We start from the raw sequence: 26,428 nt of genomic DNA, 5'->3' as shown, positions 1-26,428 counted from the left end.
CAGGAGATCGAGACTATCCTGGCTAGCACGGTGAAACCCCGCCTCTACTAAAAATACAAAAAAATTAGCCAGGCGTGGTGGCGGGTGCCTGTAGTCCCAGCTACTCAGGAGGCTGAGGCAGGAGAATGTCATGAACCCAGGAGGCAGAGCTTGCAGTGAGCCGAGATCGCGCCACTGTACTCCAGCCTGGGCAACAGAGAGAGACTCTGTCTCAAAAAAAAAAAAAAGTTAATGGGATAAACATCCATCTCAAGAAGTTAGAAAGGAATGACAAATAAACCAAAAAAAAAAAAATCAAAAGAAGAAAATCATAAGGTCAAGACTATAAAGAGAGTGGCTGGGTGCAGTGGCTCAGGCCTGTAATCTCAGCATTTTGGGAAGCAGAGGTGGGCAGATCACTTGAGCCCAGGAGTTCAAGACCAGCCTGAGTAACTTAGAGAGACCTCATCTTTGCTGAAAATAAAAATAAAAAATTAGCCAGGCATGGTGGTACTGAGGTGGGAGGATCACTTGAGCCTAGGAGGTTGAGGCTGCAGTAAGCCATGATTGTGCCACTGCACTTCAGCCTGGGTGACAGAGTGGGACCCTGTCTCTAAAAAACTAAAATAAGGCTGGGCGCGGTGGCTCAAATCTGTAATCCCACCACTTTGGGAGGCCAAGGCTGAGGTCAGCAGTTTGAGAACAGCTTGGCCAACAAGATGAAACCTCATCTCTACTAAAAATACAAAAAATTAGTTGGGTGTGGTGGCATGTGCCTGTAATCCCAGCGACTTAGGAGGCTGAGGCAGGAGAATCGCTTGAACCCAGAAGGCAGAGGTTGCGGTGAGCCAAGATCTCGCCACTGCATTCCAGCCTGGGTGACAGAATGAGACTCTGTCTCAAATAAATAAATAAATAAATAAATAAACCTTTTTTTTTTTTTTTTTTTTTTTTTTTTTGAGACAGAGTCTCACTCTGTTGCTCAGGCTGGAGTGCAGTGGCTCAATCTCGGCTCATGGCAACCTCTACCTCCCGGGTTCAAGCTGTTCTCCTGCCTCAGCCTCCCAGATAGCTGGGATTACAGGCATGTACCACCAGGCCCAACTAATTTTTATATTTTTAGTAGAGATGGGGTTTCATCATGTTGGCCAGGCTGGTCTCGAACTCTTAGCTTCAAGTGATCTGCTGACCTCGGCTTCCCAAAGTGCTGGAATTACAGGTGTGAACCACAACACCAGGCCAATCTTTTTTTATCAGTGTAGATAGACTCAAAAGATTCTGATTTTAGTCAATGGGCTACAGTCCATTACAACCATTACTTAAGAGTTTGTGTTCCATTCTCGTTTATCAATTTATTATTTATCTTTTAAAAATCTCTACCAAAAAAAAAAGATATATAAAGAGAGCAAAAAGACTGGCCATAGAGTAGGAAAAGATATTTACAACAAATGTAACTGACAACCCTCATGTCCAGAATATATAATCCACAAAGGACCCCTGCAAGTCTGTGAGAAAAATCCAGAAGACTCAGTAGAAAAATTAAAACTCTTGAACGGGTATTTTGTAAGAGAGAAATCCAAATGGTTAACAGATACAAGAAATGGTGCCCATCCTCATTAGGAATTTTAAAAATGCAAATTAAAACCACAACAAAATTCTATTACGTATCAACCAGAGAAGCAAACATTTAAAAGTCTGACAATACCAAGAATAGGGTAGATGTAGCATAATGGGGCTTTCATACACTCCGTTGGCATTATCTTATAAGGTTGAAGCATCTTATATCCTACAGCCTGACAGTGTCACTCCTAGTACCTACCAGAAAGAAATGGGTTCCAGAAGATGTGTATAAATTGGTATGTTCTCATGCGGCTAATAAAGACAGACCCAAGACTGGGTAATTTACAAAGGAAAGAGGTTTAATGGACTCACAGTTCCACATGGTTGGGGAGTCCTCACAATCATGGTGGAAGGCAGAGGAGAAGCAAAGGCACATCTTACATGGCGGCAGACAAGAGGGCTTGTGCAGGGGAACTCCCATGTATAAAACCATCAGATCTCATGAGACTTATTCACTATCATAAGGACAGCAGGGGAAAGACCTGCCCCTATGATTCAATTACCTCCCATTGGGTCCCTCCCACGACACATAGGAATTATGGGAGCTACAATTCAAGATGAGATTTGGGTGGGGACACAGCCAAACCATATAAGTGTACAAGAATGTTCAGCACAGCAGTGTTCATAATATCCAAATTCTAGAAGCAATCCACATGTTGACCTACAGGGAAACAGATAAACAAATCGTGATCATTCACATAATAACATGCCAAACAGCAATAAATATAAACAAGTTACAGCTACATATAACAACCAAAGCATGATGAAGAGCATGGGAAGCCAGGCACAGAAGGATGCATGCAGCACGATTCATTCATACGCTGCTCAAAATGAAACAAGTTTGACTAGGAATGCATGCAAAGGTGTCAAACTATAACAAAAAGCAAGGAGATGGTGCTCACAAAAACCAAGAGTTTGTTACCCACAGGGAAGGAGAAAAGGGATGTGTGCAAGGAACAAGCAACACACAGCTTTCAGAGAGCTGGAAAAGCTCTATTTCTCTTTTCTTCTTTTTTCCTTTCTTTTCTGAGTCGAGGTTTTGCTCTGTTGCCCAGGCTGGAGTGCAGTGGCATGATCATAGCTCACTGCAATCTTGAACTCCTGGGCTCAAGCACTCCACTCACCTCAGCCTCCCAAGTAGCTGGGACTACAGAGGCATGCCACCTCACCTGGCTAATTTTTTAGATTTTTATAGAGAAAAATGGTCCCCCTTTGTTGCCTAGGCTGGTCTTGAACTCCTGGGTCCAAGCAGTCCTCCTGCCTAGGCCTCCCAAAGTGCTGGGATTACAGGCTGAGCCACTGTGCCCTGCCATGTGTCACTGTTAAAGGGAAGATGCCAGGCCGGGCGCGGTGGCTCACACCTGTAATCCCAGCACTTTGGGAGGCCAAGGCGGGTGGATCATGAGGTCAGGAGATCGAGACCATCCTGGCTAACATGGTGAAACCCCATCTCTACTAAAAATACAAAAAAAATTAGCCAGGTGTGGTGGCAGGCGCCTGTGGTCCCAGCTACTCAGGAGGCTGAGGCAGAATAACGTGAACTTGGGAGGCAGAGCTTGCAGCGAGCCGAGATCGCGCCACTACACTCCAGCCTGGGCAACAGAGCAAGACTCCATCTCAAAAAAAAAAAAAAAAAAAAAAAAGGTAAGATTCCAGTAGAGACAGGTGGGACGTCCCGGAGAGGCAGTAGTTAATCAGTGGGATAAAGTTCCCCAGGAGATTGTGGGGGATAGAACCCACATCTCAGGTGAGAAGATACTTCACTGGTGAGAACACCTCTTCCAATGCTACTGGAAGGGAGGAGAAAAGGATGGACGTGTGTTTCTTCAGGCCTCGTGCAGGCAGGGAGGAAGGGAGTTAAGGGAGTTCCCATGACAGGGCTGCTATTTTCTCGTTGAAGAAAGAGGCAAGACCTGCTGAAAGAGAATGAGGTGGGTTCGAAAATGGTGGAGGGGGCTGGGTGCGAGCGCCATGCCAGGTGAGCATGGGGTTTCTGGCAGCGCAGAAGGCCTGGTTGCGGGAAAAAGCCACGGGTCTCCCTCAGCACCCACCCAGGGGCAGGCATGAAGGTGGGCATCTGGATTCATCCGGCGGGGTGGGGTTGCCAAGGGGAGTGTGGGAAGGACAAGGACGTGGAAGACACTCTATTGGCAAGAGAATGACTTACTTGTTGGGTGCAGCTGCAGCCCAGGAGCAGGTGCGGTGGGAGTCTCGAGGCGGGATAGCTGGAAGATGGCTCAGGAGCGGGGAGCTGGGTGGATCCTCTCTAAGATGGGGCCTGTCCCCGGGGATGATGACAGGGTCCCGAGCTTGGCCTTGGAGCAGGAGAAGCCACGAGGGTCAGAAGGACTAGGATGAAAGAAGTCACAGGGTGCACATGGAGGCTGGAGCACCCCGTTGACAACCTCAGGGCTGGAGGCATGGAGGGAAGACAGTGGTCCGATGCAATCAGAGCTGGATGGGGAAGTTGGTAGAAGGCAGTGCCCGGGAGTGGTCTTTTGAATGCAGAGTCTCCTTGAAGCTCAGGAAGAGAAATACTTGTGTGTATTTTTCAAGGCATGAAAAGGCTTTCCCTAGCACTTCACACAGGCTGCCGTCCTGGAAACACTGGGTGGAAATTCAACACCAGCTCTTGGGAAAGTCAGACATCTCCAAAACATACGTGACCCACGGAAGACAAAATTGTGAAAGAGATGGGGGGTGGGGAGGGGTGATCAATGACACCATAAGTGCTACCGGGAAACTGAAGTGAAATCAGAAATCTAAAGGGGAGGCACATTTCCCACTGGGGTCCTGGTTAGGATTCATTGTGACTCACCTCGTGACGGGTTACACTTGGGTGCTGGAGTAACGTTTAGCGTTTAGAATTGGTCAAATGTGCCTGGGCATGCCGGAACACAGATGACAAGATAGGGTTTGTGGTTGCTGTGAAGATCTCAAAGGACAGGAAGCAGCCCTTTCTCTATTTCCCAAATACACTATTGTTCAAATCGGTGACACTTGTTATTTGCTACTCTACACAGAAAGTTGATCAACATAATTCTTGAAAAACCATTCAGGTTCTGCAACACTCTAATGGGTTTGTTTCTTTTTCTTCTCTAGGCAAAACAATATCAAATCATATACCTTCTTCTCAAAGAACGATTTTCCCACTTATGTGAAGTCCTTTTGAGTGGAGTGACTTGAACTTCCGGCAATAATTTAATAAGGAATGGATAGGAAGGTTTATACCTCAGCTATTGCATGCTATATACTACTTTAAAATGTGTATTGGGATTAAGTTGGGTTTTTTTTTTGTTGTTGTTGTTGCTAAAGAGCATTTCTCCTAAAAAACAGTTTTCTATTTTAAAACACTCTTTTTCAGCAGGGCGCGGGGGCTCACGCCTGTAATCCTAGCACTTTGGGAGGCCAAGGCGGGCAGATCATGAGGTCAGGAGTTCGAGACCAGCCTGGCTAACATGATGAAACCCTGTCTCTACTAAAATTGCAAAAAATTAGCCAGGCATGGTGGCACACGCCTGTAGTCCCAGCTACTCGGGAGGCTGAGGCAGGAGAATTGCTTCAATCAGGGAGGTGGAGGTTGTGGTGAGCCGAGATTGTGCCACTGGACTCCAGCCTGGGCAACAGAGCAAGACTCTGTCTTAAAAAACAAAAAACAAAACAAAAACACTCTTTTTCTATTATAAAAGTAATAAATATTTTGTAGCCATTTTGAGAAATAAAGGCATGCTAACTTCTTTGCTATTTTTGACCATTTAGTGTTACAGATGAATGCTAGAATTATTTTCTCAAGTTCCAAAAGAATACAAAACGAGTTTTGAGGTCTTGTTATCGGTACATTCTGATTTAGAATATTTAGAATTGTTACGTCTTCCTGGTGAGTTGAATTTTTTATCATTTATCATAAAGTGACCCTCTTTATTTCTTTTCTTTTCTTTCTTTTTTGAGACAGAGTCTCGCTCTGTCACCAGGATGGAATGCAGTGGCGCGATCTTGGCTCACTGCAACCTCTGCCTCCTGGGTTCAAGCGATTCTCCCACCTCAGCCTCTGAAGTAGCAGGGACTACAGGTGCATGCCACCAGGCCCAGCTAATTTTTGTATTTTTAGTAGAGATGGGGTCTCACCATGTTGGCCAGGATGGTCTCGATCGCCTGACCTCGTGATGCCCCCACCTTGACCTCCCAAAGTGCTGGGATTACAGGTGTGAGCCACCGCGCCTGGCCAACCTTCTTTATTTTTAATATTGCTTTCTAAAGAATGAACTTTGGCCAGGCCTGGAGGCTCACACCTGTAATCCCAGCACTTTGGGAGGCCGAAGCGAGTGGATCAGCTGAGGTCAGGAGTTCGAGACCAGCCTGGCCAACATGGCAAAACCCTGTCTCTACTAAAAATACAAAAAATTACCTGGGCATGGCCGGGTGTGGTGGCTCACGCCTCACGCCTGTAATCCCAGCACTTTGGGAGGCCAAGGTGGGTGGATCACGAGGTCCCCAGATCGAGACCATCCTGGCTAACACAGTGAAACCCCGTCTCTACTAAAAATACAAAAAATTAGCCGGGCGTGGTGGCAGGCGCCTGTAGCCCCAGCTACACGGGAGGCTGAGGCAGGAGAATGGCGTGAACCCGGGAGGCGGAGCTTGCAGTGAGCCGAGATCATGCCACTGCATTCCAGCCTGGGTGACAGAGAGAGACTCCGTCTCAAAAAAAAAAAAAAAATTTACCTGGGCATGGTGGCAGGCACCTGTAATCCCAGCGACTTGGGAGGCTGAGGCAGGAGAATTGCTTGAATCTGGGAGGCAGAGGTTGCAGTGAGCCAAGATCGCACCACTGCACTCCAGCCTGGGCCACCAGAGCAAAATTCCGCCTCAAAAAAAAAAAAAAAAGAATCAACTTTATTGGGGGTATAATTAACATAGAATAAAATGCACCTATTTTAAGTGTTCAATTCTACGTGCGCGCACGCACACACACACACACACATTAACTACCATCATAATCCATAATCCATTTTTCCATTTTTGACTTTTACCTTTCTTTACAGCTGTTTTGTTTTTAGCTACATTTATTGAGGTATAATTTAGATGTAGTAAAATTTACATCTCCATGACTCCATGACAAATGCACACAGGCAAGTAACCATCACCACAATCAAAATATAGAATATTTCCATCATCCCCAAAACTTCCTTTATCCCCCTCTGTAGACAATCTAGGGTTGCCAGATTTAGTAAGTTTACCTGGGCGACCTGTATTTTCTCTGGCAACGCTAAGTCATTTCCTGTCTTCCCACTCCCATCCCTGGCAGCTACTGTTTTCTGTCTCTATACTTTTTTGTTTTCATGAATGTCATATAAATGGAATCCTACTGTATGTCATCTCTTACAGCTGGTCTCTTTCTCTTAGCATAATGGCTTTTGAGATTCATCGGTGGTGTTGCATATATCGGTAATTGGTAACTTTTTTTTTTTTTTTTTGAAACAGTCTCGTTCTGTTGCCCAGGCTGGAGTGCAGTGGCACCATCTCGGCTCCCTGCAACCCCCGCCCCCCAGATTCAAGCGATTCTCCTAAGTCATCCTCCCGAGTAGCTGGGACTACAGGTGCATACCACCATGCTGGCTAATTTTTGTACTTTTAGTAGAGACAGTTTTTCACTATATTTGCCAGGCTTGTCTCGAACTCCTGACCTCATGTGATCCATCTGCCTCGGCCTCCCAAAGTGCTGGGATTACAGGCGTGAGCCACCGTGCCTGGCCGGTAATTCGTGACTTTTTATGGCTGGGTAGTGTCCATTTTAAAGGCGTACCACAATTTGTATATCCATTCATTCACCCATTGATTGGCATTTGGGTGTTTCCAGTTGTGACATAAAAAGAAATATATAAGTGGTCTCTGCCCCTGTTCCTGGCACACAGCTTCTAAAGCTCTTGGAGTCTCAGGAGTGATCATGGTGTCTTTTTCTATGCTAATGAGACAACTGGCATGGCTGGGGACCCCTATATAGCTTAGGAGGGGTCTGGTCACCACAAAGACCAAGGCATGATTACAAGATTGGAACTTTCAGCCCCACTCCACCTTCCCACTTCTTTGGAGGGAAGAGAGGCTGAGATTGAGCTAATGACCAATGGCCAATTACTTAATCGATCACACCGATATAATAAAACCTCCATAAAAGTCTAAAGGCCTGGGCCAGGCGAAGTGGCTCATGCCCGTAATCCCAGCACTTTGGGAGGCCAAGGCGGGTGAATCACCTGAGGTGGGGAGTTTGAGACCAGCCTGACCAACATGGAGAAACCCCGTCTCTACTAAAAATACAAAAATTAGCCAAGTGTGGTGGCATATGCCTATAATCCCAGCTACTCGGGAGGCTGAGGCAGCAGGATCACTTGAACCCGGGAGGTGGAGGTTGCAGTGAGCTGAGATCACGCTGTTGCACTCCAGCCTGGGCAAGAACAGCAGAACTCCATCTCGAAAAAAAAAAAAAAAATTATAAAGGCCAGGGTACAGAGAACTTTGTGGTTCATGAACACATACATGTGCCAGGAGCGTGGTGCACCCCCAGCTCCACGGGAACAAAAGCTCTTGGGTTTGGGACCCTTCCAGACCTTGCCCTATGCTTCTCTTCATCTGCTGTTCATTTGTATCCTTTATAATAAATCGGCAACTGGAAGTAAGGTGTTTCCCTGAGCTCTGTGAGCTCTAGCAAATGACAAAACTAAGGAGGAGCTCGTGGGCCCCTCTGATTTGTAGCCAGTGTGGTAACCTGGGGACCCACTACCTGGGGTTGATGCCTGAAGCAGGGGCAGTCTTCTGGGACTGAGCTCTTAACCTATGGGGTCTGTGCTAACTCCACAGAGTTAGTGTCAAAATTGAATTAAATTGTAGGATACCCAGTTGGCGTCTGCAGAGAATTGCTTGGTGTGGAAAACCCACATGTTGGGCTGGGCACAGTGGCCCACACCTGTAATCCTAGCACTTTGGGAGGCCGAGGAGGGAAGATTGCTTAAGGCCAGGAGTTCGAGACCAGCATGGGCAATGTAGTGACACCCCTGTCTCTAACAAAAATTAAAAAAAAAAAATTATCTGAGGATAGTGCACACCCATAGTCCCAGCTACTTGGGAGGCTGAGGTTGGAGGACGGTGTGAGCCTTGGAGATCAAGGCTGCAATGAGCCATAATTGTGCCACCACAGTCCAGCCTGGGTGATAAGAGAAAGATCCTGTCTTGAAAAAAAAAGAAAAGAAAAGAAAACCTACACATGGATGTCAGACGTGTTGTGAGTAGAACAAGCTTTTCCTTTACCAGTTTTGGCAATTACAAATACAGCTGCTATAAACACTTCCTACAGATATTTGTGTGGATGTATGTTTTCATTTCCCTAGAGTAAATACCTACGAGTGGGACTGCTGGGTCACGTATGTGTATGTTTAACTGCCAAACTGTTTTCCAAAGTGGTTGTACCATTTTCCATTCCCACCAGCAACTCTATGGGAGTTCAGGTTGCTCTGAGTCTTCACAGATACTTGGCATTTTCATTTTGGGCCTGGAAGGGGGGTTGAAGGGAGCCCCCAGGACGCTGGTGCCACTGTTACTGAGTGTTCATTCCACAGGGTGGTTCAGTTTGTGAAAATTCATCAAGCTGTAAACGTTTATGTGCACTTTTCTGGACGTATACTAATCCTCAATAAAAATTATTTAAACCATATCAAATACATGTGAACTAAATTAAGTAACAATTTATTGAAATTAATATGCTTTAAAAAAATTGAAATAAAAAAACTCAGAGTAAGTCCGTAGTAGCCTTAAGAATTTTCCCCTGGCCATCCATGGTGAATACCCGAAAACCAAATTAATACTTCTGAACATTATAAGAGACATGTCAGGAGGCTCAGACCAATAATGCATATTTAATTTTACTCCTATCCCCATCAATTATTCACTTTTATTCTCAAAATTCTCATAATTGTAATATTCTTAGTTTTGTGTTCAGAACATAAAAATAAACCTTCTATTTTCAAATAATGACAATAAAGGGTGGAGCATGAAGGGGAGTATTGGCTTCCTCCTGAAAGGGAACTCCCTTTAATGACAGAGAACAGCTCCTTCCAGAGGGAGTTTCCGGTGACAAGGGAAGGGCTTCTGCCTGGTGTGACGAAGGTGGCACCGTGGAGGGGTTCGGAATGGTTTGGGACTCAGGGACTTCAAGTTGTTCCAAACTCTAGAGAATCCTCTTCCAAATACCAGAGTCCTGCTCTTTTGTAATCAATAATAGTAACAACGGGCCCAGGGGTGGTGGCTCACGCCTGTAATCCCAGCACTTTGGGAGGCCAAGGCAGGCAGATCACCTGAGGTCAGGAGTTTGAGACCAGCTTGGCCAACATGGCGAAACCCCGTCTCTACTAAAAATACAAAAATTAGCTGGGTGTGGTAGCACACGCCTGTAATCCCAGCTACTAGGGAGGCTGAGGCAAGAGAATCGCTTGAACTCAGGGGGTGGAGGTTGCAGTGAGCCAAGATCGCGCCACTGCACACCAGCCTGGGCAACAGGACAAGACTCCATCTCAAAAGCAAAACAAAAACAAACAAAAAAACACACAAAAAAAGTGGCTAATACTCAGTCCTCTCTGTGTAATGCCCCATTATAAGCAATTTACATGCACTCATATATCATTGAATTCCCATAGCCATCTGATGAGGCAGGTCCTATTACTCCTCTGTTTTAGCATACAGTTGATTCTCATGATTCATAGATTCCACATTTGCAAATTCACTTAGTAGGTAAAAAATTTATGTGTAACCTCCCCCCCTCCCCCCACAAATCAATACTTGCAGCGTTTCTGAGGCCATGAGCCTGTACATGCCATGTGCCTGGAGTGGGGAAAATCCGAGTCGCCGCGTGTTGGAGTCCCTGGCTGAGACCCAGCAAGCACTCTCTCTCTGCCCTCATTTCTGCTCACCTACTGCCAACAACTGTCCTTTTCTTGGTCTGTTTAGCGCCACATTTTTGTCATTTTTTGCTTTTTTTTGGGTGGCGGTTTTGCATTTTTAAATGGCCCCCACACGTAGGGTTGAAGTGTTATCTAGTGTTCCTCAGTGCAAAAGGTGTGTCTTAGGGAGAAAATACATGTTAGATGTACTTCATTCAGGCATGAGTTACATGCCATTGTCTGTGGGTTTGATACCAGTGGGCTGGGGAGGTGCCCAAACGCAGGTGGGACCTTGACCCCGGGCTCTTGACGTCATTACGAAAAGGAATTCAAGGATGAGTCAGAAAATAGTGAAAGTACAAAGACTTATTACCAGGTGAAAATTACATACTCAAGAAAGAGGAATGCAGGCCTACTCAAGAGAAAGTCGAGCAATGGTTCGGGGTTTCTACCTTTATGGGTTTCTTCAACCAAGAGGTGGAATATTCATGAAAATTCCTGGGAAAAGGTAGAGATTTCTTGGAGCGGTGGTGTCACCCATTTATGCGCCAAATCTGAGTGTTCCTGAAATTGTCATGGTACTGGTGGTTGTGTGTTTAGTATGTTAATGAGCACATAATGAGGTCCTAGGGGAAGCCTGGGTCAAGCCCAGCACCATGTTGGGTCCAGTTGGTCTTAGCCAGCTTGGTTCATACCTTGGCTTTTCAGGGTCTTAGAAGACGATAGTCTCTAGTTATGTAAAACTGCTGCCTGGAATTTAATTCTCCTGTGACCACCCTATATTATTCCCATCTCATTTTCAATGTTAATTAATGAGTCAATAATAGACATTAAATAAGGCTTCTTTTTGTTTGTTTCTGTTTTGTTTTGTTTGAGATGAAGTCTCGCTCTGTTGCCCAGGCTGGAGTACAATGGCGTGATCTTGGCTCACCGTAGCCTCCACCTCCCGGGTTCAAGTGATTCTCCTGCCTCAGCCTCCCCAGTAGCTGGGACTATAGGCATGGGCCACCACACTTGGCTAATTTTTGTGATTTTAGTGGAGATAGGGTTCCACCATGTTGGCCAGGCTGGTCTTGAACTCCTGACCTCAGGTGATCCATCTGCCTCGGCCTCCCGAAGTGCTGGGATTATAGGCATGAGCCACTGTGTCTGGCCTAAATAAAGCATCTTTAATAGAAACACACACACAAAAACAAAGTTATGTATATTGATCTGTTGATAAAAATGTTGTGATCAGAGGTTCACAGGAACCTAACCCTGTATCTTCCCTAGGAGCTGTGGTTTCCAAGGAGCAGTATTTGCTAAGTCCGTGTACTGGGTGACTTTATTCAACATAACTACTGCAAATACCAGAATTGACTATGATGAAACGGAGGCACAGAGCCTAAGCCTCTTGTTTGTTGTCATTTAGCAAAAAAATGAAGGATCTGAAGCCAGGCAGTGCCATTCCAGAGCCCTAACTTTCAAATGTCATATCTACAAGGTCTTACATTCAAATAACATTGTAAATTCAACAACAAAGAGACCAAGCTCCAAGTTTATTCAGCTATTTCTGCACAGAAGGCACCTGAAATGATCTGTGCCTGGAAACAAAAGGTAGAGGATGTAAGTGTATCATTCTCTATTTTATCCACAGCCCTCAGAAGCAGCTGGTCTGCCTGGCTTTACTCTCCATAACACTCCACAGAACAGTTTTGCAGTTCCCAGAGCTGTGCCTTCAATGGACACTAGGTTTCAGGTGACCAAAGATGCTATCAGAGAATATGACTTTCTCATAGGAGAGAATGAGTTTCCCGGTATGTTGGACCATCTCAGCCAGATATTTCTGTGTCAGAAACCCATCAGTAACACTCTAGACTGGAGATCAGCAAATAGATTCTGTAAAGGGCCAGAGAGTAAATATTTTAGGACTTGTGAGCCATATAGTCTCTACAACTAGTCGACTGTGCCCTTTTATCATCAGATAATACCTAATGAAGAGGCATGACTCTGTTCCAATAGAAATTTAAGAAAGCAGATGGGCTGGGCGCGGTGGCTCACGCCTGTAATCCCAACACTTTGGGAGTCCAAGGCGGGCGGATCACTAGGTCAGGAGATCAAGACCATCCTGGCTAACATGGTGAAACCCCGTCTCTACTAAAAATACAAAAAATTAGCTGGGCGTGGTGGCGGGCGCCTGTAGTCCCAGCTACTCGGGAGGCTGAGGCAGAAGAACGGCGTGAACCCGTGAGGCGGGGCTTACAGTGAGCCGAGATGGCGCCACTGCACTCCAGCCTGGGCGACAGAGCAAGACTCCGTGTCTAAAAAAAAAAAAAAAAAGCAAGCAGATGGAGGTCTAGCTGCCCAGCTGCTCTAGAGGAGAGGCTGTGTCTTATGTTTGTAATTTCAGCCCCAGCAGTAAAAATTGTCCCTATGTTGCCAAAGAGGAAATGAAAACAGAGTCACAGTCATTGATTTTTTTTTTTTTTTTTTTTTTTTTTTTTAGAAGGAGTCTCGCTCTGTCGCCCAGGCTGGAGTGCAGTGGTGAGATCTCGGCTCACTGAAGCCTCCCCCTCCCAAGTTCAAGCAATTTTCCTGTCTCAGACTCCCGAGTAGCTGGGAATACAGGCACACGCCACCACGCCTGGCTAATTTTTATATTTTTAGTAGAGACGGGTTTCACCATATCGGTCAGGCTGGTCTCAAACTCCTGACCTCAGGTGATCCGCCCGCCTTGGCCTCCCAAAATGTTGGGATTACAGGCGTGAGCCACCGCGCCCAGCCCAGTCATTGATTTTTGAAAAGGGCAGGCAAAGAACTAAAATCTGCCTGCCGATTGTATATTTTCACTTCTGGAGTGAGCCTCAATACTGTACTTCATGTTAGATCCGAACTAGTTGGAAAAATTAAAGCAAATACATAGTGAAAGGATCTGATCTTCACATGATCCAACCGGCGTTGGGTCTCAGCAAACCCAACTTTGCAGGTTAAATTCCACACATGAACTGTGGTTGAACTGGGGATGGTGGTGGTGACATCAAATCGCATTTCAGGTGCTCCCAGAGCTCGGAGTGGATGGTAGATCCTGTCTTTGCCCAATCTCAGCTTTCTGTGTCTCTTAGCTTCCTAGCCGAAGACCCCAAGGCAGGTTATAAAACTGGAAATAAAGTCTTGGTTTGCTCCTGTGAAATCATCCTTCGCAGACAGGTTTTGGTTTGGACCGGGGGATGCCTGAGGGTCTTATACAGACTGGGATTCAGTCACAGAACTACTAACTTGCAAAGCCTATTTCTTTCTTTCTTTTTTTTTTTTGGAGACAGAGTCTCGCTCTGTCGCCCAGGCTGGAGTGCAGTGGCACGATCTCTGCTCACTTCAACCTCCACCTCCCAGGTTCAAGCAATTCTCCTGCCTCAGCCTCCCGAGTAGCTGGGACTACAGGCGCACGCCACCACGCCCGGCTAATTTTTTGTATTTTAGTAGACACAGGGTTTCACCATGTTGCCCAGGCTGGTCTCGAACTCCTGAGCTCAGATAATCCGCCCGTCTCGGCCTCCCAAAGTGCTAGGATTACAGGCAAGAGCCACCGCGCCTGGCCTGCAAAGCCTATTTCTAACCAAAGTCAAGTCCCACACACTTGCCTCTAAATTGCGTTTTGCTCCTTTGTTATCCCAGGTTTTACAATTACAGAGCACTTGATGAGCCTGTTTCCACGTCTGTAAAATGAGGCGAAGTTCTTCACTGTGCTATTGCAGAATTAAGCCACTGGCTCTATAGGCAAAGTGCTTAGCACGGGCGTGGCACGCTGCGGGTGCACAGAAACGCTCGCTGCCACCCCACCCTTAACTACCGGGCACCCCAGCGCCCCGCCAGGGGCTGAAGAAACGTGGGAGGAAGCGGAGGAACGCGAAGGGCGTGTGCCCGCGAAAGGTCTCACGAGGCGTTTCGAGGTCGCCTCTTCAGGCTCGGCTGCCGACAAGGTGCCTCTGAGCTCACCCAGCCCAACCCGCGCACCCCGGGACCCCAAGACGGCAGCGGGCACAGCTGGGCAGCAGAGACCCGGGAACACCCACTTCCGCCACAGACCTGCTCAAAATAGCTCCTTCTGGCAGCGCGCAAGAAGTGGCCCGAGCCGGCCCCGGGGAGGCGGGGCCTGAGAGCAGACAACCCCCCCACTTCCGGCTCGCCTCCGTTCGCCACAGGCCCCGCCGCAGCCGCTCTTCGCCCCGGCCAGCAGGCCCGCCCCGCCCTCCGTGACGTCATTTCCGGCGTTTGGGCGGGGCCCGGGCAGGGCGCGCTGCCCGGAGCTGCCTGGGTTGCGCTGCCGGCCACGTCCCCGCGCCGGGCCTCAGGCTCCTTCCTACTGTCCGAGGGCCACCAGGCCGCCGGGGGCCTGCTGCGCCCGGGTAAGGGGCTCGCACTGCCGTCCGGGTAGCTGCTGTCAGGGCTCCCTGACTGGCTTGGGACTGAGAGACAGAGGTTGGGGGGCAGGAGGAGGGTTGGATGGGGGCACGAGGGGCAGTGGGAGAGTGAGTGGGGCTGAGAGAGGCAGGAGGAACGGGACAGGAGGAGCGGCGGATGGGGCACGCACAGAGTGCAAGACGCTGAGCAATGCAGGTACTGAAGAAGTCAACTGGGGGCCGAGCATGGCTGGGGGCCCAAGAGACAGGAGGAGGGAGGAGGGCCGAAGGGGGCCCAGACTGGAGAAGAGGCCGGCTTGTCCCATTGTGGGAGCAGAATGGGGACACTCTGGAAGGGGGCCGAATTTGTCCTGGGGTCTTTCCCGGGCAAGCCCAGGACGGGACTGGACCCCAAGAAGTGTCGCTCTTACTTGAGTGACACAGACCTATCCCCCAGACCCTCTCTCTACCTGGGTGGAGGTTGTGCATTGCCCCAGATTCCCTCCCCTGCCCATCTGTCTCCCTGCCTGCTTCCCCCGTGCGAGTCACTTAGTAGCCCCCGTGTGGCTGCTTAGCATGTTGACTTAATCGTTAGGCTGATAGGAGGAATCGGCCTCCACACGCATGGTTTGCCACCAGAAATAATCATCGTGCTTAGAAATCTGACTGTAATAACTTGCAGCTATCCCTCGCCCCAGGAAAATCTCTAACATTTCGATAAAATCAGCTAGGAAAATCTTTAAAATACAGATGTTTCCATTTATACAGTGGATCTGCCTAATGGACAAAGGAATGTCAGAGCTACCCACGTTCTTAGCAAAAACTAGGCCCTAGTATTTAGCTGTGTTACCAAAACTTCCAGAAACCTGGAAGCAAGCAAGGTAGTTAATGTAATATAATAAATGTCCAATGTTCTAGGTTCCCGTCTGCCACAGAGTCACATCCTTTGGACTACAGGACAATGTCTATATACACAAAGCCATAAGTCTGTGTTCCTTGGGCTTCTGCTACCAAAGTTCAGCCAGGTGACGTGTCAGGATTAGGTACCTGCAGTTTGCCCTGTATTTGTGTTTGCAGTTCCTACTCCTTGGTATCTGTAGCTTGCCTAACTTGGTGTGGGGGCCTGGCCATGTTGCGGCTGAGTGAGTCTTAATAGCCTGATAGAATGTGGGGGTAACAGCTGTAGTCCTTTACCAAGCTTCAGGATTGGTCTTTGGAACCTCTCTATGCCAGAAAAAAAGAATTAAGTTATTTCTTTCCCTTTTTTTTTTTTTTTAAGAGATGGGGTCTCACTATGTTGCCCAGGCTGAACTCAAACTTCTGGGCTTGTAATCCTCCCACCTCAGCCTCCTGAGTGTCTGGGATTACAGGCATGCAGCACCACGCCTGGAGTCCAGTTTTGTGTAACTTGCATAAAGTGCGCCACATATAACAAGCCAAGGTTCGGAACACAAGAATTCAGACAAGATGCCTTGGGAGGCATCTCGAGGTCATGAACCAGAAAAGGATAGGGAGGTTGACACCCAGGGGCATAGTTGGGGGTGCCTTTGTCATGGAGTGTCACATGGCTCAAGGGAGTATCCTGTTGCACCTTCCTTGCAGATCCTATGGGGAGCTGACCCCTGAAGAAGGGAGCTCCCAGTGCCAGCCTAACCTTCCGTCTTTCCATCTGCCCTGGTCTCCAACTTAATACAAACTTAATTCTCTCTCGCTCATTCCCCTCCTGCCCCTGGGGTCTCTTTTTTCCCATCTATTATGGTCTGAGACCCTGATCTACCCAGTCTCCCTGTACCACATAATAATGAGAATAACTGGTGGGGTCCCGAGACCCACATCCTAATTTTGGCTTGAAGCCTTTGCAGGGGAAACTGTTATTTTAAATGTTGTTAATGGTTTGTCCATCATGAGTCAACTTACATAGATGACCACAGGTTCCCGCATGGGATCTTGACATTTAGAATATTCTGTTGGAAAGTGGAGGCAGGACCATAGCAGAGGGATGAAGTCATAGGACAATGAAGGCCTGTTCTCGACTACACAGTGGCCAATTCCTGTTTCTGTGGGAGTGACCACCAGCCCCACCGGCTGGGAGGGAGTAAGTGGTGATGGTATCCAGCAGAAGTTTCCTGAGAAACCCGTGGAGTGTCCTGATATAGCCTTGTGGACCTGCTCCGTGTGTGTGCCCTCACCTTTGTGTGTGTGATTTTGCATGTGTATGTGTGTGCCTGTGTGAGTGCACATGTGTGGTGGCATGTGTGCATGTGCAGATGGACATATGTGCAGCTGTGCGCACACAAGCGTGTGTGACTAAGTGCATGTATGTGTGGCTGTGTGTGCACACGTGGGCATCTGTGTTGGGAGCAGGCCCATGGTGGTCCTTGATATCACCACCTACTGATAACCTTCCCATGATAAGAGGTGACGAGCTGTTTCTGTAATCTCCTGAGTACGCGTTAAATATTCATCAATGAGAGAAGCATTTGTGCCGGTTGACATCTTTGCATTATGGCTTTGCTCCTGGATTCCTCCGAAGTTTTGGTTGGCTCCTAGGAAAATGTCTCTCCTGATATATAGATCGTGTAGTCTCTCTAAATTATGGAAATCAGCATGTGAAACTGTATCAGGTGGGATAACTCTGTGCCTTTCTGCTTAGTGGCTTGAAGTACTTGAAGAAAATATGCTGTTTTCTTTCCTTGGAGCCTTTCAGAAATGTTTTCCAAAAGTGATACATGCTTGTTAAAAAAAAAAAAAGAAGGAAAGATATGAAGTAGAGAATGAAAATCACAGGTGAATCCATTCCCCAGGGATATTCATTAACATTCTAGTGCAAATCTTTCCAGACCCTTGAATAAATGTCCCTTTTAACAAAAATAGGATCATGGTCCACACGTTGCTGTGTAACCTGCCGTGTTCATTTACTGATGCATGCTATATATCTTCCCATGTCAATAAGTAGAGAGTTGTGTATTTTTAACAGTTGCCATAGTATTTTATATATGAATGGGGCCATACTTGACAGAACTATTCCAGTTTTTTACTCTTTCTAAATAATGCTGTGAGAAATATCTTTGTAGATCATCTTTGGACCTCTGTCTGAGTGCTTCCTTAAAAGAAACTGCAGTAGAAGTTGCTGCATTGGAAGTCGTTGTTGTTTTTTGTTTTGTTTTTTTGAGACGCAGTTTTGCTCTTATTGCCCAGGCTAGAGTGCAGTGGCTCAATCTCGGCTCACTGCAACCTCCACCTTCTGGTTTCAAGCGATTCTCCTGCCTCAGCCTCCCAAGTCGCTGGGATTACAGGTGCCCACCACCACGCCCAGCTAATTTTTTTGTATTTTTAGTGGAGATGGGGTTTCACCATGTTGGTCAGGCTGGTCTCGAACTGCTGACCTCGTGATCCACTAGCCTCGGCCTCCCAAAGTGTTGGGATTACAGGCGTGAGCCACCGCACCCAGCCTGCATTGGAAGTTTTGACATTGAAAGCTTTGATCCATGTTGTCGTTTTCCCAGTGGAATGAATGATCTATTGAATTCTGCTCTTTTTGTGCCTCCCTCCTCACTGGAATTTTCCTTCATGCCTTTCATAAGGAATGTGGACTTTTTTTCAAACTCTAGATGCGTCTGTTACTAGAGTGGAGAGTCTACCTTCGTCTCACATGTGCCACAAAGGATGGCATGGCCCGGGAGTGCCCCACCACGTGGCTTTCACCCCCTGCAAAGCCAGACTTCGCCCAGCGACACAGTGTCAAGCCCACAGCTCTCCAAGGAGGAAGATGGTCCAGGCTGGGAGCATCCCCTTAGCAGCAGCCTCTGGTAAGTGTCCTGGCCCTGCAGGCTGGGCCTGCTTGTTGGGTGATGGGACGGTGAGCCCAGAGGGAGCTTTGCAAGATCATCAGAGGGTCAAGGGAAAAGGAAAGACAGCCAGGCCTTATAGTAACCAAGGAAGGCCCAGGCCCAGTCTGTGGCCCTTAACTGTCAGAGGCCCTGCCTCCATTTTTTTTTGTTTGTTTGTTTGAGACAATGTCTGGTTCTGTGGTCCAGGCTGGAGTGCAGAGGTGCAATCTTGGCTTACTGCAACCTCTGCCTCCCAGGTTCAAGCCATCCTCCCACCTCAGCCTCTCAAGTAGCTGGGACTACAGATGCATACCTGTAGTCCTGGCCAATTTCTGTATTTTTTGTAGAGATGGGGTTCCGCCATGTTGCCCAGGCTGGTCTCTAACTCATGAGCTCAGTCCATCCGCCTACCTCAGCCTCTCAAAGTGCGGGGATTACATGCATGAGTCATTGCATCTGATCAGGAGGCCTTATCTTCTGAGTGGACTGGGGTGGTGGCCCATGAACAGGATGGGGATCACGCAATCCCCTGCAACCCTCTTCGGCTTCGTGACACAAATGCAAGTTACCTCAAGAGGTTCTCCCTGACCTTGGTGATGCCGTGGGCACTCACAGAAGCCTCCTCTGTGCTGCAGGGAGGCTGTGTCTTACTCATGCAGGGTGGTGGAGGGGCGCCTCTTAGCAGAAGATGATGAAAGGCTGTCCCCTCTCAGGAAGGAGAAGGTCCTTGTCTGTTCCAAGGCAAAGAACTGGACAAGAAGGAGGAGGTTCATTCAGTACATTGAGTCTGATCCTCCCTGCTGTAGCTGGAGCACGGTCCCTGAAGCTGGCTGAAGTGCTAAAGCAGGGGCTAGCAAACTGTGGCCGAATCCCACCTGCTGCCTGTTTGTATAAATAAAGTTTTATTGGGACACAACCATGCCCACCATTCACTTCTATTCCAGGGCTGCCTCTGTACCGTAGCGGCAGAATGGAGTAGCTAAGACACAGACCAAATGGCCCACAGAATCCCAAATATTTGCCATCCTGTCCTCTATAGAGAAAGTGTGCTGACCCCTGCCCTAGAGATTTGTAGTGAGGGGGCAGCAGAAGGCCTGGGGCTGGGGTACATTCAGGAGCCGAGACCCTCTTCACCCATAAGAAGCCCCTGCCACATCATCTCACCTTTAACTCACCCAGAGGACCTCAAATCCCGGGCTCGGGCCTGGGGAACATACCAGGGGTGGTAGCATTTTAAAAACATTCGGTAGATGTTACTGGCCCAAGAGAGAGCCATTTAAATACTCATATTTATCAAAAGCCCAGCTGCACTGCCTTGACCCGTGGAGGATTGTGAGTTCTTTGTGCCCGAAACCTTCCAGTTTCAGTTCTGCCTTGCATGATATTGGTTAGTTTCTTCTCTCCCCATCCCCCCCGCCACACTTTTTTCTGTCAGAACAAAGAATGCTTTTTGCACTCTAGATCTGTGGTTTGTAAGGCCAAGTAATTTTTCTAAGCCCCTAACACATTAGGAGCCCTTACAGACCATTTTGAAGAGAAAGCACCATTTGAAGCTAGAGAAAAGTTAGTGACTCTTGGAAAGAGACCGGAAGTCTCGTGGAACACACCAGCCTTCCAGAGGAGTGTGTGCTCTAAGGGCTTTCTCCAGCCCCGGGGCAGCTTGACAACAGTCCACATGGATTACAGGAGGCAGGAAGCCACCCAGGGGCTTCTTGTTGCGCAGTGGCTGCTTTTGCGTAGCTGGAAGTGCTTCTCGGGTGGGCTGCTGGCTAAGCCAGGCGCCATGCTGGGTCCTTGCCCGTGTGATCCCATGTCCCATGTCACTCCCATGCAGCTCAGCGGGGCTCAGAGGTCCTGTGGCTGCACATGTCACTTGGTTAGTGAGCATGGGAGCTGGAGTTGGAACGCAGGCAGTGCTGTTGGCCTCTGTGTGTCCTGCTGGTCTCCCACTCCCCTTGCATGGTCTCTTGACCCTATTACAGTAGCTTCCTCAAGGGAATGACAGTGAATGCTGAAAGAGCTAAAAGGCTGCTTCTGCCACTCATGCATTCAATGGCCCCTTCGTCCCTGAGTGACCAATGGGCAGCTCACCCAGCACCCCAAAGCCCCAGTCTGCCTACAGCTATGCAGCTGGGGCCACACTTTGCTGTGGGCTGCTAAGTGCTGGTTACCTTGTGACTGTTTTCATTATTTTATCTAACAAAACAAATAAACCAAACCAAATAATTTTTTTATAATACATTAAGGGCCGGGCACAATAGCTCATGCCTGTAATCCCAATACTTTGGAGGCCAAGGTGGGAAGATTGCTTCAGCCGAGGAGCTGGAGACCACCCTGGGCAACATAGCAAGAATCCTCTCTCCACACACACAAAAAAAATAGCCAGGTGTGGTGGCATGCGCCTGTGATCCCAGCTGAGGTGGGAGGATCATTTGAGCCTGGGAGGTCAAAACTGTAGTGAGGTACGATCATGCCACTGCAGTCCAGCCTGGGCAGCAGAGCGAGACCCATCTCAAAAAAATAAAAATGTGTTAAGGCGTCCACATCACTTCTGTGGAGCATTAGAATGAAGGAGAGGGCTTTGCTTTACAGCAACTTGGGCCGGCTGTGGGGACCACTGCAGTCTCTGAAGTGGGTCAGTCACTCATTCACTCATGCCTTCATTCATTGAGAGAGCCTCTGTATCAGGTGCCTGGATCGCTGCCCCTCACTGGCTGCCCCTGCCTCCCCTCTTGCTAAAAGCACCTTTCTGTTCTTGTCTAAGGCCCCGGAGGGACTCGCATCCCCCTACTGTGAAATCTAAACTGCCACATGGCTCATGGGGCCTCCTCACGCTCTCCAGACTAATTCCCGCCTCACCACGCTCTTCCTTGCCTCTGACCCTGCTGTTGTCATCTGCTGCTCCCTCTCCACCTGCCTGCCCACCCCCACCCAGCTTTCAGAATGCGGCCCAGGCATCGCTTTCCCAGGAAGCCTTCCTTGGCATGCCGACCACACCACCACTGGCTGAACTGTGTCCTCTGGGCCCCTGTGGCACCCTGTCCTCTGGGGCCCAGCCACCCTTGGGGCTTCTGCCCAGAGTATCAGCCTACCTCACTCTTCAAGGCCTGCCCGCATACTGTCTCCTCCTTGCTTCCCAGCACTGAGTCACACCCTGCACAATGCTTGTGCCAGCCTGCAATGACCTCTTTTCTGTGTCTCCCATGGACTGCAGGTCCCTGAAGAGCTTGTGTGTTTTTCACCTTTTTGTCCTAAGTGTACTGCCTGGCACATGAGAAAGCACTAAGTAAATATTGGATGAAAGGATGGCTGGGTGCATGGATGGGTGGGTGGGTGGATGGATGGATAGATGAACAGATGGATAGGATATGGTGGGTGGATGGATGGATGAGTGGGTGGATGGATGGGTGGATGGATGGATGGATGGATGGATGGACTTATGGATGGACAGGTGAGTAGATGGATAGAATAGTGGGTGGATGGATGGATGGATGGATGGATGGATGGATGAGTGGGTGGATGGATGAGTGGGTGGATGGATGGGTGGGTGGATGGATGGATGGATGGATAGATGGGTAAGTGGGTAAGTGGATGGATGGATGGGTGAGTGGATGGATGGATGGACAGATGAGTAGATGGATAGAATAGTGGGTGGATGGATGGGTGGGCGGGCAGGTGGATGGATGAATGGGTGGATTGATGGATGAATGGTTAAGTAGTATCTCCCATGTGAAAGGCACAGTCACCTGTCACAGGGTGCACATGGGGTGCATTAGGCTTGATTTGTACTCTGCAGACTATGGGGGAAGCTGAGGAGGAAGACTTGACCAGTCTTGGTGATGAGAAGGCCTTCACCCTATGAACACAACCAAGTCTTAGCCCTCTCTCCTGCTCCTTTAAACTCTGAACTCTAGGATGGGAGAATGGGAACTTTTGCAGGTTGAGATTCATAGTGAAATCGGGTCAAGAAGTGATCAGATGCAAAGCACAGGGCAGTTCATTACTATACCATGGCTGAGGTCTTCCTGGGCACCAGGCCCTGGTCTCAGCACTTGGCTCAGTCTGCACCTTGGACCCTGCCAGAGCCCTCCACAGCAGGTGCTCTCAGGCAAGGCTGTGTGTTGCTGGCCAGACGCCTTCTGACCAGCGTGCTTTCTTGACCACAGATCCCTTGGCCAAGCAGGAGGGAACCATTAGCAGCCTGAGGAGCTGGCTGGCTGGGAGCCTCGGGGACCGCCCAGCCTTGCTCCCAGCTCACCCACAAGATGTGGACAGCTCTTGTGCTCATTTGGATTTTCTCCTTGTCCTTATCTGAAAGCCATGCGGCATCCAACGATCCACGTAAGTGAGAAAGCTGTGTGACTGCTGGATGGGCCCACGGTGGCCACAAAGCATGCTGAGCCCTTGAAAGCAGCATCTGCAAACCCAGGCCAACGCGTCAGGAACCGCAGCCCTCCCAGGTGCCGCACAGGGAAGGGTTGTCAGGCCAACCTTCCTTCTCCAGGGCCATGGTGGGCAAAGAGCCCCTAGCAGGACCAGGCAGCTGAGCCCTGAAAGGTTTGCTCGCTTGGCCTGCAAGATTTGATGTCATCTCTAAATTGAATCTTCACTGGGGAATTGATTCCTTCATACATCAGATCTTTAACTGCGTTCCCACTCTGTGCCATTCATTTCCAAGAATTCCTGCAGTGAATCCTTTCACAAAGCCAAGCGTTCTTTTATGATGTGAATACCTGTGCAGTTTATCTGCTTTGTAAACCTGGGTGTGCGTTCAGTGGGCTTTTAATGGTGAATCACACCTGTTGTGTGAGACTTTTACTCTGATGTTTTGGGAATTGGATCAAATAGTGAAGGTCTGAAGCCTTCAATGGGCAGGGGGTTCATAGAGGGCAAAGGAGTTTTAAAATCAAATTGACAAGGGCTTTTTCAATGAGCTGCATGCCAACAGTGGGAAGAGAGATGGGGAGGAAGCATGTTCGCACATCACCTCCCCCGACTCTGGCTGGGCTGAGGAGGGGGCCCCACAGGCCTGGGTGGAAGCCGATCCCTGAGCAATCCCCCTGTGCAGGATTGAACATGATTGTCTCTCTTTTTCTCCTTTTTCTGACTTTAAGGCAACTTTGTCCCTAACAAAATGTGGAAGGGATTAGTCAAGAGGAATGCATCTGTGGAAACAGTTGATAATAAAACGTCTGAGGATGTAACCATGGCAGCAGCTTCTCCTGTCACATTGACCAAAGGGACTTCGGCAGCCCACCTCAACTCTATGGAAGTCACAACAGAGGACACAAGCAGGACAGATGTGAGTGAACCAGCAACTTCAGGAGGTGCAGCTGATGGTGTGACCTCCATTGCTCCCACGGCTGTGGCCTCCAGTACGACTGCGGCCTCCATTACGACTGCGGCCTCCAGTATGACTGTGGCCTCCAGTGCTCCCACGACTGCAGCCTCCAGTACAACTGTGGCCTCCATTGCTCCCACGACTGCAGCCTCCAGTATGACTGCGGCCTCCAGCACTCCCATGACACTTGCACTCCCCGCGCCCACGTCCACTTCCACAGGGCGGACCCCGTCCACTACCGCCACTGGGCATCCATCTCTCAGCACAGCCCTCGCACAAGTGCCAAAGAGCAGCGCGTTGCCAAGAACAGCAACCCTGGCCACATTGGCCACACGTGCTCAGACTGTAGCGACCACAGCAAACACAAGCAGCCCCATGAGCACTCGTCCAAGTCCTTCCAAGCACATGCCCAGTGACACCGCGGCAAGCCCTGTACCCCCTATGCGTCCCCAAGCACAAGGTCCCATTAGCCAGGTGTCAGTGGACCAGCCTGTGGTTAACACAACAAATAAATCCACACCCATGCCCTCAAACACAACCCCAGAGCCCGCCCCCACCCCCACAGTGGTGACCACCACCAAGGCACAAGCCAGGGAGCCAACTGCCAGCCCAGTGCCAGTACCTCACACCAGCCCAATCCCTGAGATGGAGGCCATGTCCCCCACGACACAGCCAAGCCCCATGCCATATACCCAGAGGGCCGCTGGGCCAGGCACATCCCAGGCACCGGAGCAGGTAGAGACTGAAGCCACACCAGGTACTGATTCCACTGGGCCAACACCCAGGAGCTCAGGGGGCACTAAGATGCCAGCCACGGACTCGTGCCAGCCCAGCACCCAAGGCCAGTACATGGTGGTCACCACTGAGCCCCTCACCCAGGCCGTGGTAGACAAAACTCTCCTTCTGGTGGTGCTGTTACTCGGGGTGACCCTTTTCATCACAGTCTTGGTTTTGTTTGCCCTGCAGGCCTATGAGAGCTACAAGAAGAAGGACTACACCCAGGTGGACTACTTAATCAACGGGATGTATGCGGACTCAGAAATGTGAGGGGGGCGGGGGCCTGGCGGGAGGCCTGGCCCCTTCCTCGTCCTTTCCTTTTGCCTTTGAGACCAAACCAAGTGCTTCCAAATTCTTTTGGTGCAATTGAGGAGATATGCCAGATGCTTAAACACATTTAATTGCTGTCAGATTAATTCCATGATCACTAAAGAGTTGCTGCTTTTTTCATATTTATTTTTGTAAATGATTCTGTGCCCAGGAGCAGCTGGGGGTTCCACCTCAGGGTGGGGCGGGCAGGACCCCGTCTCCCCAGGTGTCGGAGCCTGACCTGAATTAAAGTACTGACTGCTCGCCACAATCGTGTGGGTGCATCCTGCTCCTTGGGGAGCCTTGCTTTCTGCCGTGCACGTGGCAGGGTTTTGTTCTGTGAATGTGCACCATCACTCCGCACCCTGGAGGTTGACTGTGTCGTTGCCACTGACTTGGGTTTCTCCCTGGTACCCACGCCCGCCCTGGTGCTTGCTGGGAGGCTCCTGGGCCCCAGAGGAGGCCACAGCCAGCATCTTTAATCCTTTTTCTGACCTGTTCGATGAACCTCCTGGAGCCAGCCTTAGGGGTGAAGGAGCTAAATTCAACACATCACCCCCGTGGTGTGGCCAGCTCGGCCTGAACCTGCGCAGAACAGAATCTGATCCTGCCCTGCTCATGAGGTGGGGTCACTATTGCTAGTCCTGAATAGTGCAAGTCCCTTGCTCCAGGTAACCCAGGACCCCAGGGCCAGTCCTGGGATTCGACCCCGGAGCCTGCTCCTTAGGCCAGTTCCCCTGGATTCCAGGCTCCCATCCTGAACATCCAGCCAGCACTTGCTCTGTGCTTGTTACATGCCTGCCCTGTCCCTGTGCTGTGTGAATGTGACTTGCTGTGTGAGTGTAACCTGCTGTGTATGACCTGCTGTGTGAGTGTAACCTACTGTGTGTAACCTGTGTGTGACCCGCTGCGTGTGTGTGATCTGTGCGTGTGTAATGTGCTGTGCGTGTGTAACTTGCTGCGTGAGTGCAACCCACTGTGTGTGTGTAACCTGCTGCACATGTGTGACCTGCTGCATTGCCTCAGCCCCAGGAGATCAGCATCACAATCTCCATTTTGAAGACGGGACCACTGAGGCACAGAGCAAAGTCACTCCTGGAGGCCCAGAGTCAGGATTGAGCCCTGGTCCTAGAGTCCCAGCTGTTTGTTTAACTAGGTTCCTTTGCCACCTGCCCAGCCTGAGCTTGGCCTTTGGTCCTTCATCTGCCCACCTGCCCAAGGCAGCAAGAGCTGATGGGCCACACGTGGCCAGGGCATCTTGTAAGGCCATGT

The 26,428-nt window shown here is 49.3% G+C and overlaps 1 protein-coding gene and 1 long non-coding RNA gene across 9 annotated transcripts, besides 8 other annotated features; one reads left to right on the top strand and one right to left on the bottom strand.

Annotated features, from left to right (window-relative positions):
- Positions 1-1,877: 1,877 nt before the first annotated feature.
- On the bottom strand, positions 1,878-14,660 carry LOC105369363 (uncharacterized). Of its 4 annotated transcripts, XR_001748279.2 has the most exons (4): positions 14,586-14,660; positions 6,322-6,464; positions 3,767-4,120; positions 1,878-2,260 (listed from the first exon to the last, which is right to left on the bottom strand). It is a non-coding gene; the product is annotated as an uncharacterized LOC105369363 (long non-coding RNA). The 4 variants fall into 4 exon arrangements; XR_950248.3 differs by lacking the exon at positions 6,322-6,464 and having other exon boundaries at positions 3,767-3,948; XR_950249.3 differs by lacking the exon at positions 14,586-14,660 and having other exon boundaries at positions 3,767-3,948; positions 6,322-6,366.
- Positions 4,122-4,221: an enhancer, noted in NCBI's record as "active region_5134". NCBI's record gives its function as "activates an Ori minimal core promoter by ATAC-STARR-seq in GM12878 lymphoblastoid cells {active_cell/tissue: GM12878}" and the evidence as "EXISTENCE:reporter gene assay evidence [ECO:0000049][PMID:35858748]".
- Positions 4,432-4,591: an enhancer, noted in NCBI's record as "active region_5133". NCBI's record gives its function as "activates an Ori minimal core promoter by ATAC-STARR-seq in GM12878 lymphoblastoid cells {active_cell/tissue: GM12878}" and the evidence as "EXISTENCE:reporter gene assay evidence [ECO:0000049][PMID:35858748]".
- Positions 12,653-12,712: a silencer, noted in NCBI's record as "silent region_3666". NCBI's record gives its function as "represses an Ori minimal core promoter by ATAC-STARR-seq in GM12878 lymphoblastoid cells {active_cell/tissue: GM12878}" and the evidence as "EXISTENCE:reporter gene assay evidence [ECO:0000049][PMID:35858748]".
- Positions 13,826-14,680: an enhancer, noted in NCBI's record as "H3K27ac hESC enhancer chr11:68039550-68040404 (GRCh37/hg19 assembly coordinates)". NCBI's record gives its function as "activates a minimal SCP1, AML or CMV promoter by ChIP-STARR-seq in naive H9 embryonic stem cells {active_cell/tissue: H9 hESC(naive)}" and the evidence as "EXISTENCE:reporter gene assay evidence [ECO:0000049][PMID:30033119]".
- Positions 13,826-14,991: a biological region, named in NCBI's record as "H3K27ac hESC enhancer GRCh37_chr11:68039550-68040404".
- Positions 14,592-14,991: a silencer, noted in NCBI's record as "silent region_3665". NCBI's record gives its function as "represses an Ori minimal core promoter by ATAC-STARR-seq in GM12878 lymphoblastoid cells {active_cell/tissue: GM12878}" and the evidence as "EXISTENCE:reporter gene assay evidence [ECO:0000049][PMID:35858748]".
- C11orf24 (chromosome 11 open reading frame 24) lies at positions 14,789-25,424 on the top strand. Of its 5 annotated transcripts, none has more exons than NM_001300913.2 (5): positions 14,789-14,905; positions 18,511-18,708; positions 22,896-23,070; positions 23,844-24,031; positions 25,037-25,424. In NM_001300913.2, exons 3-5 carry the CDS (start codon positions 22,995-22,997, stop codon positions 25,115-25,117), a joined length of 345 nt encoding a protein of 114 aa, NP_001287842.1. In that variant the 5' UTR covers positions 14,789-14,905; positions 18,511-18,708; positions 22,896-22,994; the 3' UTR covers positions 25,118-25,424. The 5 variants fall into 5 exon arrangements, with proteins under 5 accessions (NP_001287842.1, NP_001425381.1, NP_071733.1 ...); NM_001438452.1 differs by having other exon boundaries at positions 14,789-15,116; NM_022338.4 differs by having other exon boundaries at positions 23,844-25,424.
- Positions 18,285-19,484: an enhancer, noted in NCBI's record as "P300/CBP strongly-dependent group 1 enhancer chr11:68034746-68035945 (GRCh37/hg19 assembly coordinates)". NCBI's record gives its function as "activates an origin of replication core promoter dependent on BRD2, BRD4, P300/CBP, MED14 and CDK7 cofactors, with strong dependence on P300/CBP, by STARR-seq in HCT116 cells {active_cell/tissue: HCT116}" and the evidence as "EXISTENCE:reporter gene assay evidence [ECO:0000049][PMID:35650434]".
- Positions 23,794-23,994: a silencer, noted in NCBI's record as "peak1319 fragment used in MPRA reporter construct". NCBI's record gives its function as "represses an SCP1 promoter by STARR-seq MPRAs in K562 erythroleukemia cells {active_cell/tissue: K562}" and the evidence as "EXISTENCE:reporter gene assay evidence [ECO:0000049][PMID:32103011]".
- Positions 25,425-26,428: the final 1,004 nt, after the last annotated feature.

The sequence above is a fragment of the Homo sapiens genome, chromosome 11, assembly GCF_000001405.40.
Source record: "Homo sapiens chromosome 11, GRCh38.p14 Primary Assembly".
Lineage (NCBI taxonomy): Eukaryota > Metazoa > Chordata > Mammalia > Primates > Hominidae > Homo > Homo sapiens.
Note: the sequence above shows the minus strand (reverse complement) of the source record. Positions and strands in the feature narration are given on the sequence as shown.

What these genes read in the sequence shown, in the direction of transcription:
- C11orf24 (NM_022338.4), top strand. Translation starts at nt 22,995, where the DNA reads ATGTGGACAGCTCTTGTGCTCATTTGGATTTTCTCCTTGTCCTTATCT. An exon ending in TGCGGCATCCAACGATCCAC is followed by an intron (nt 23,071 to 23,843) that starts GTAAGTGAGAAA and finishes TCTGACTTTAAG; the next exon opens with GCAACTTTGTCCCTAACAAA.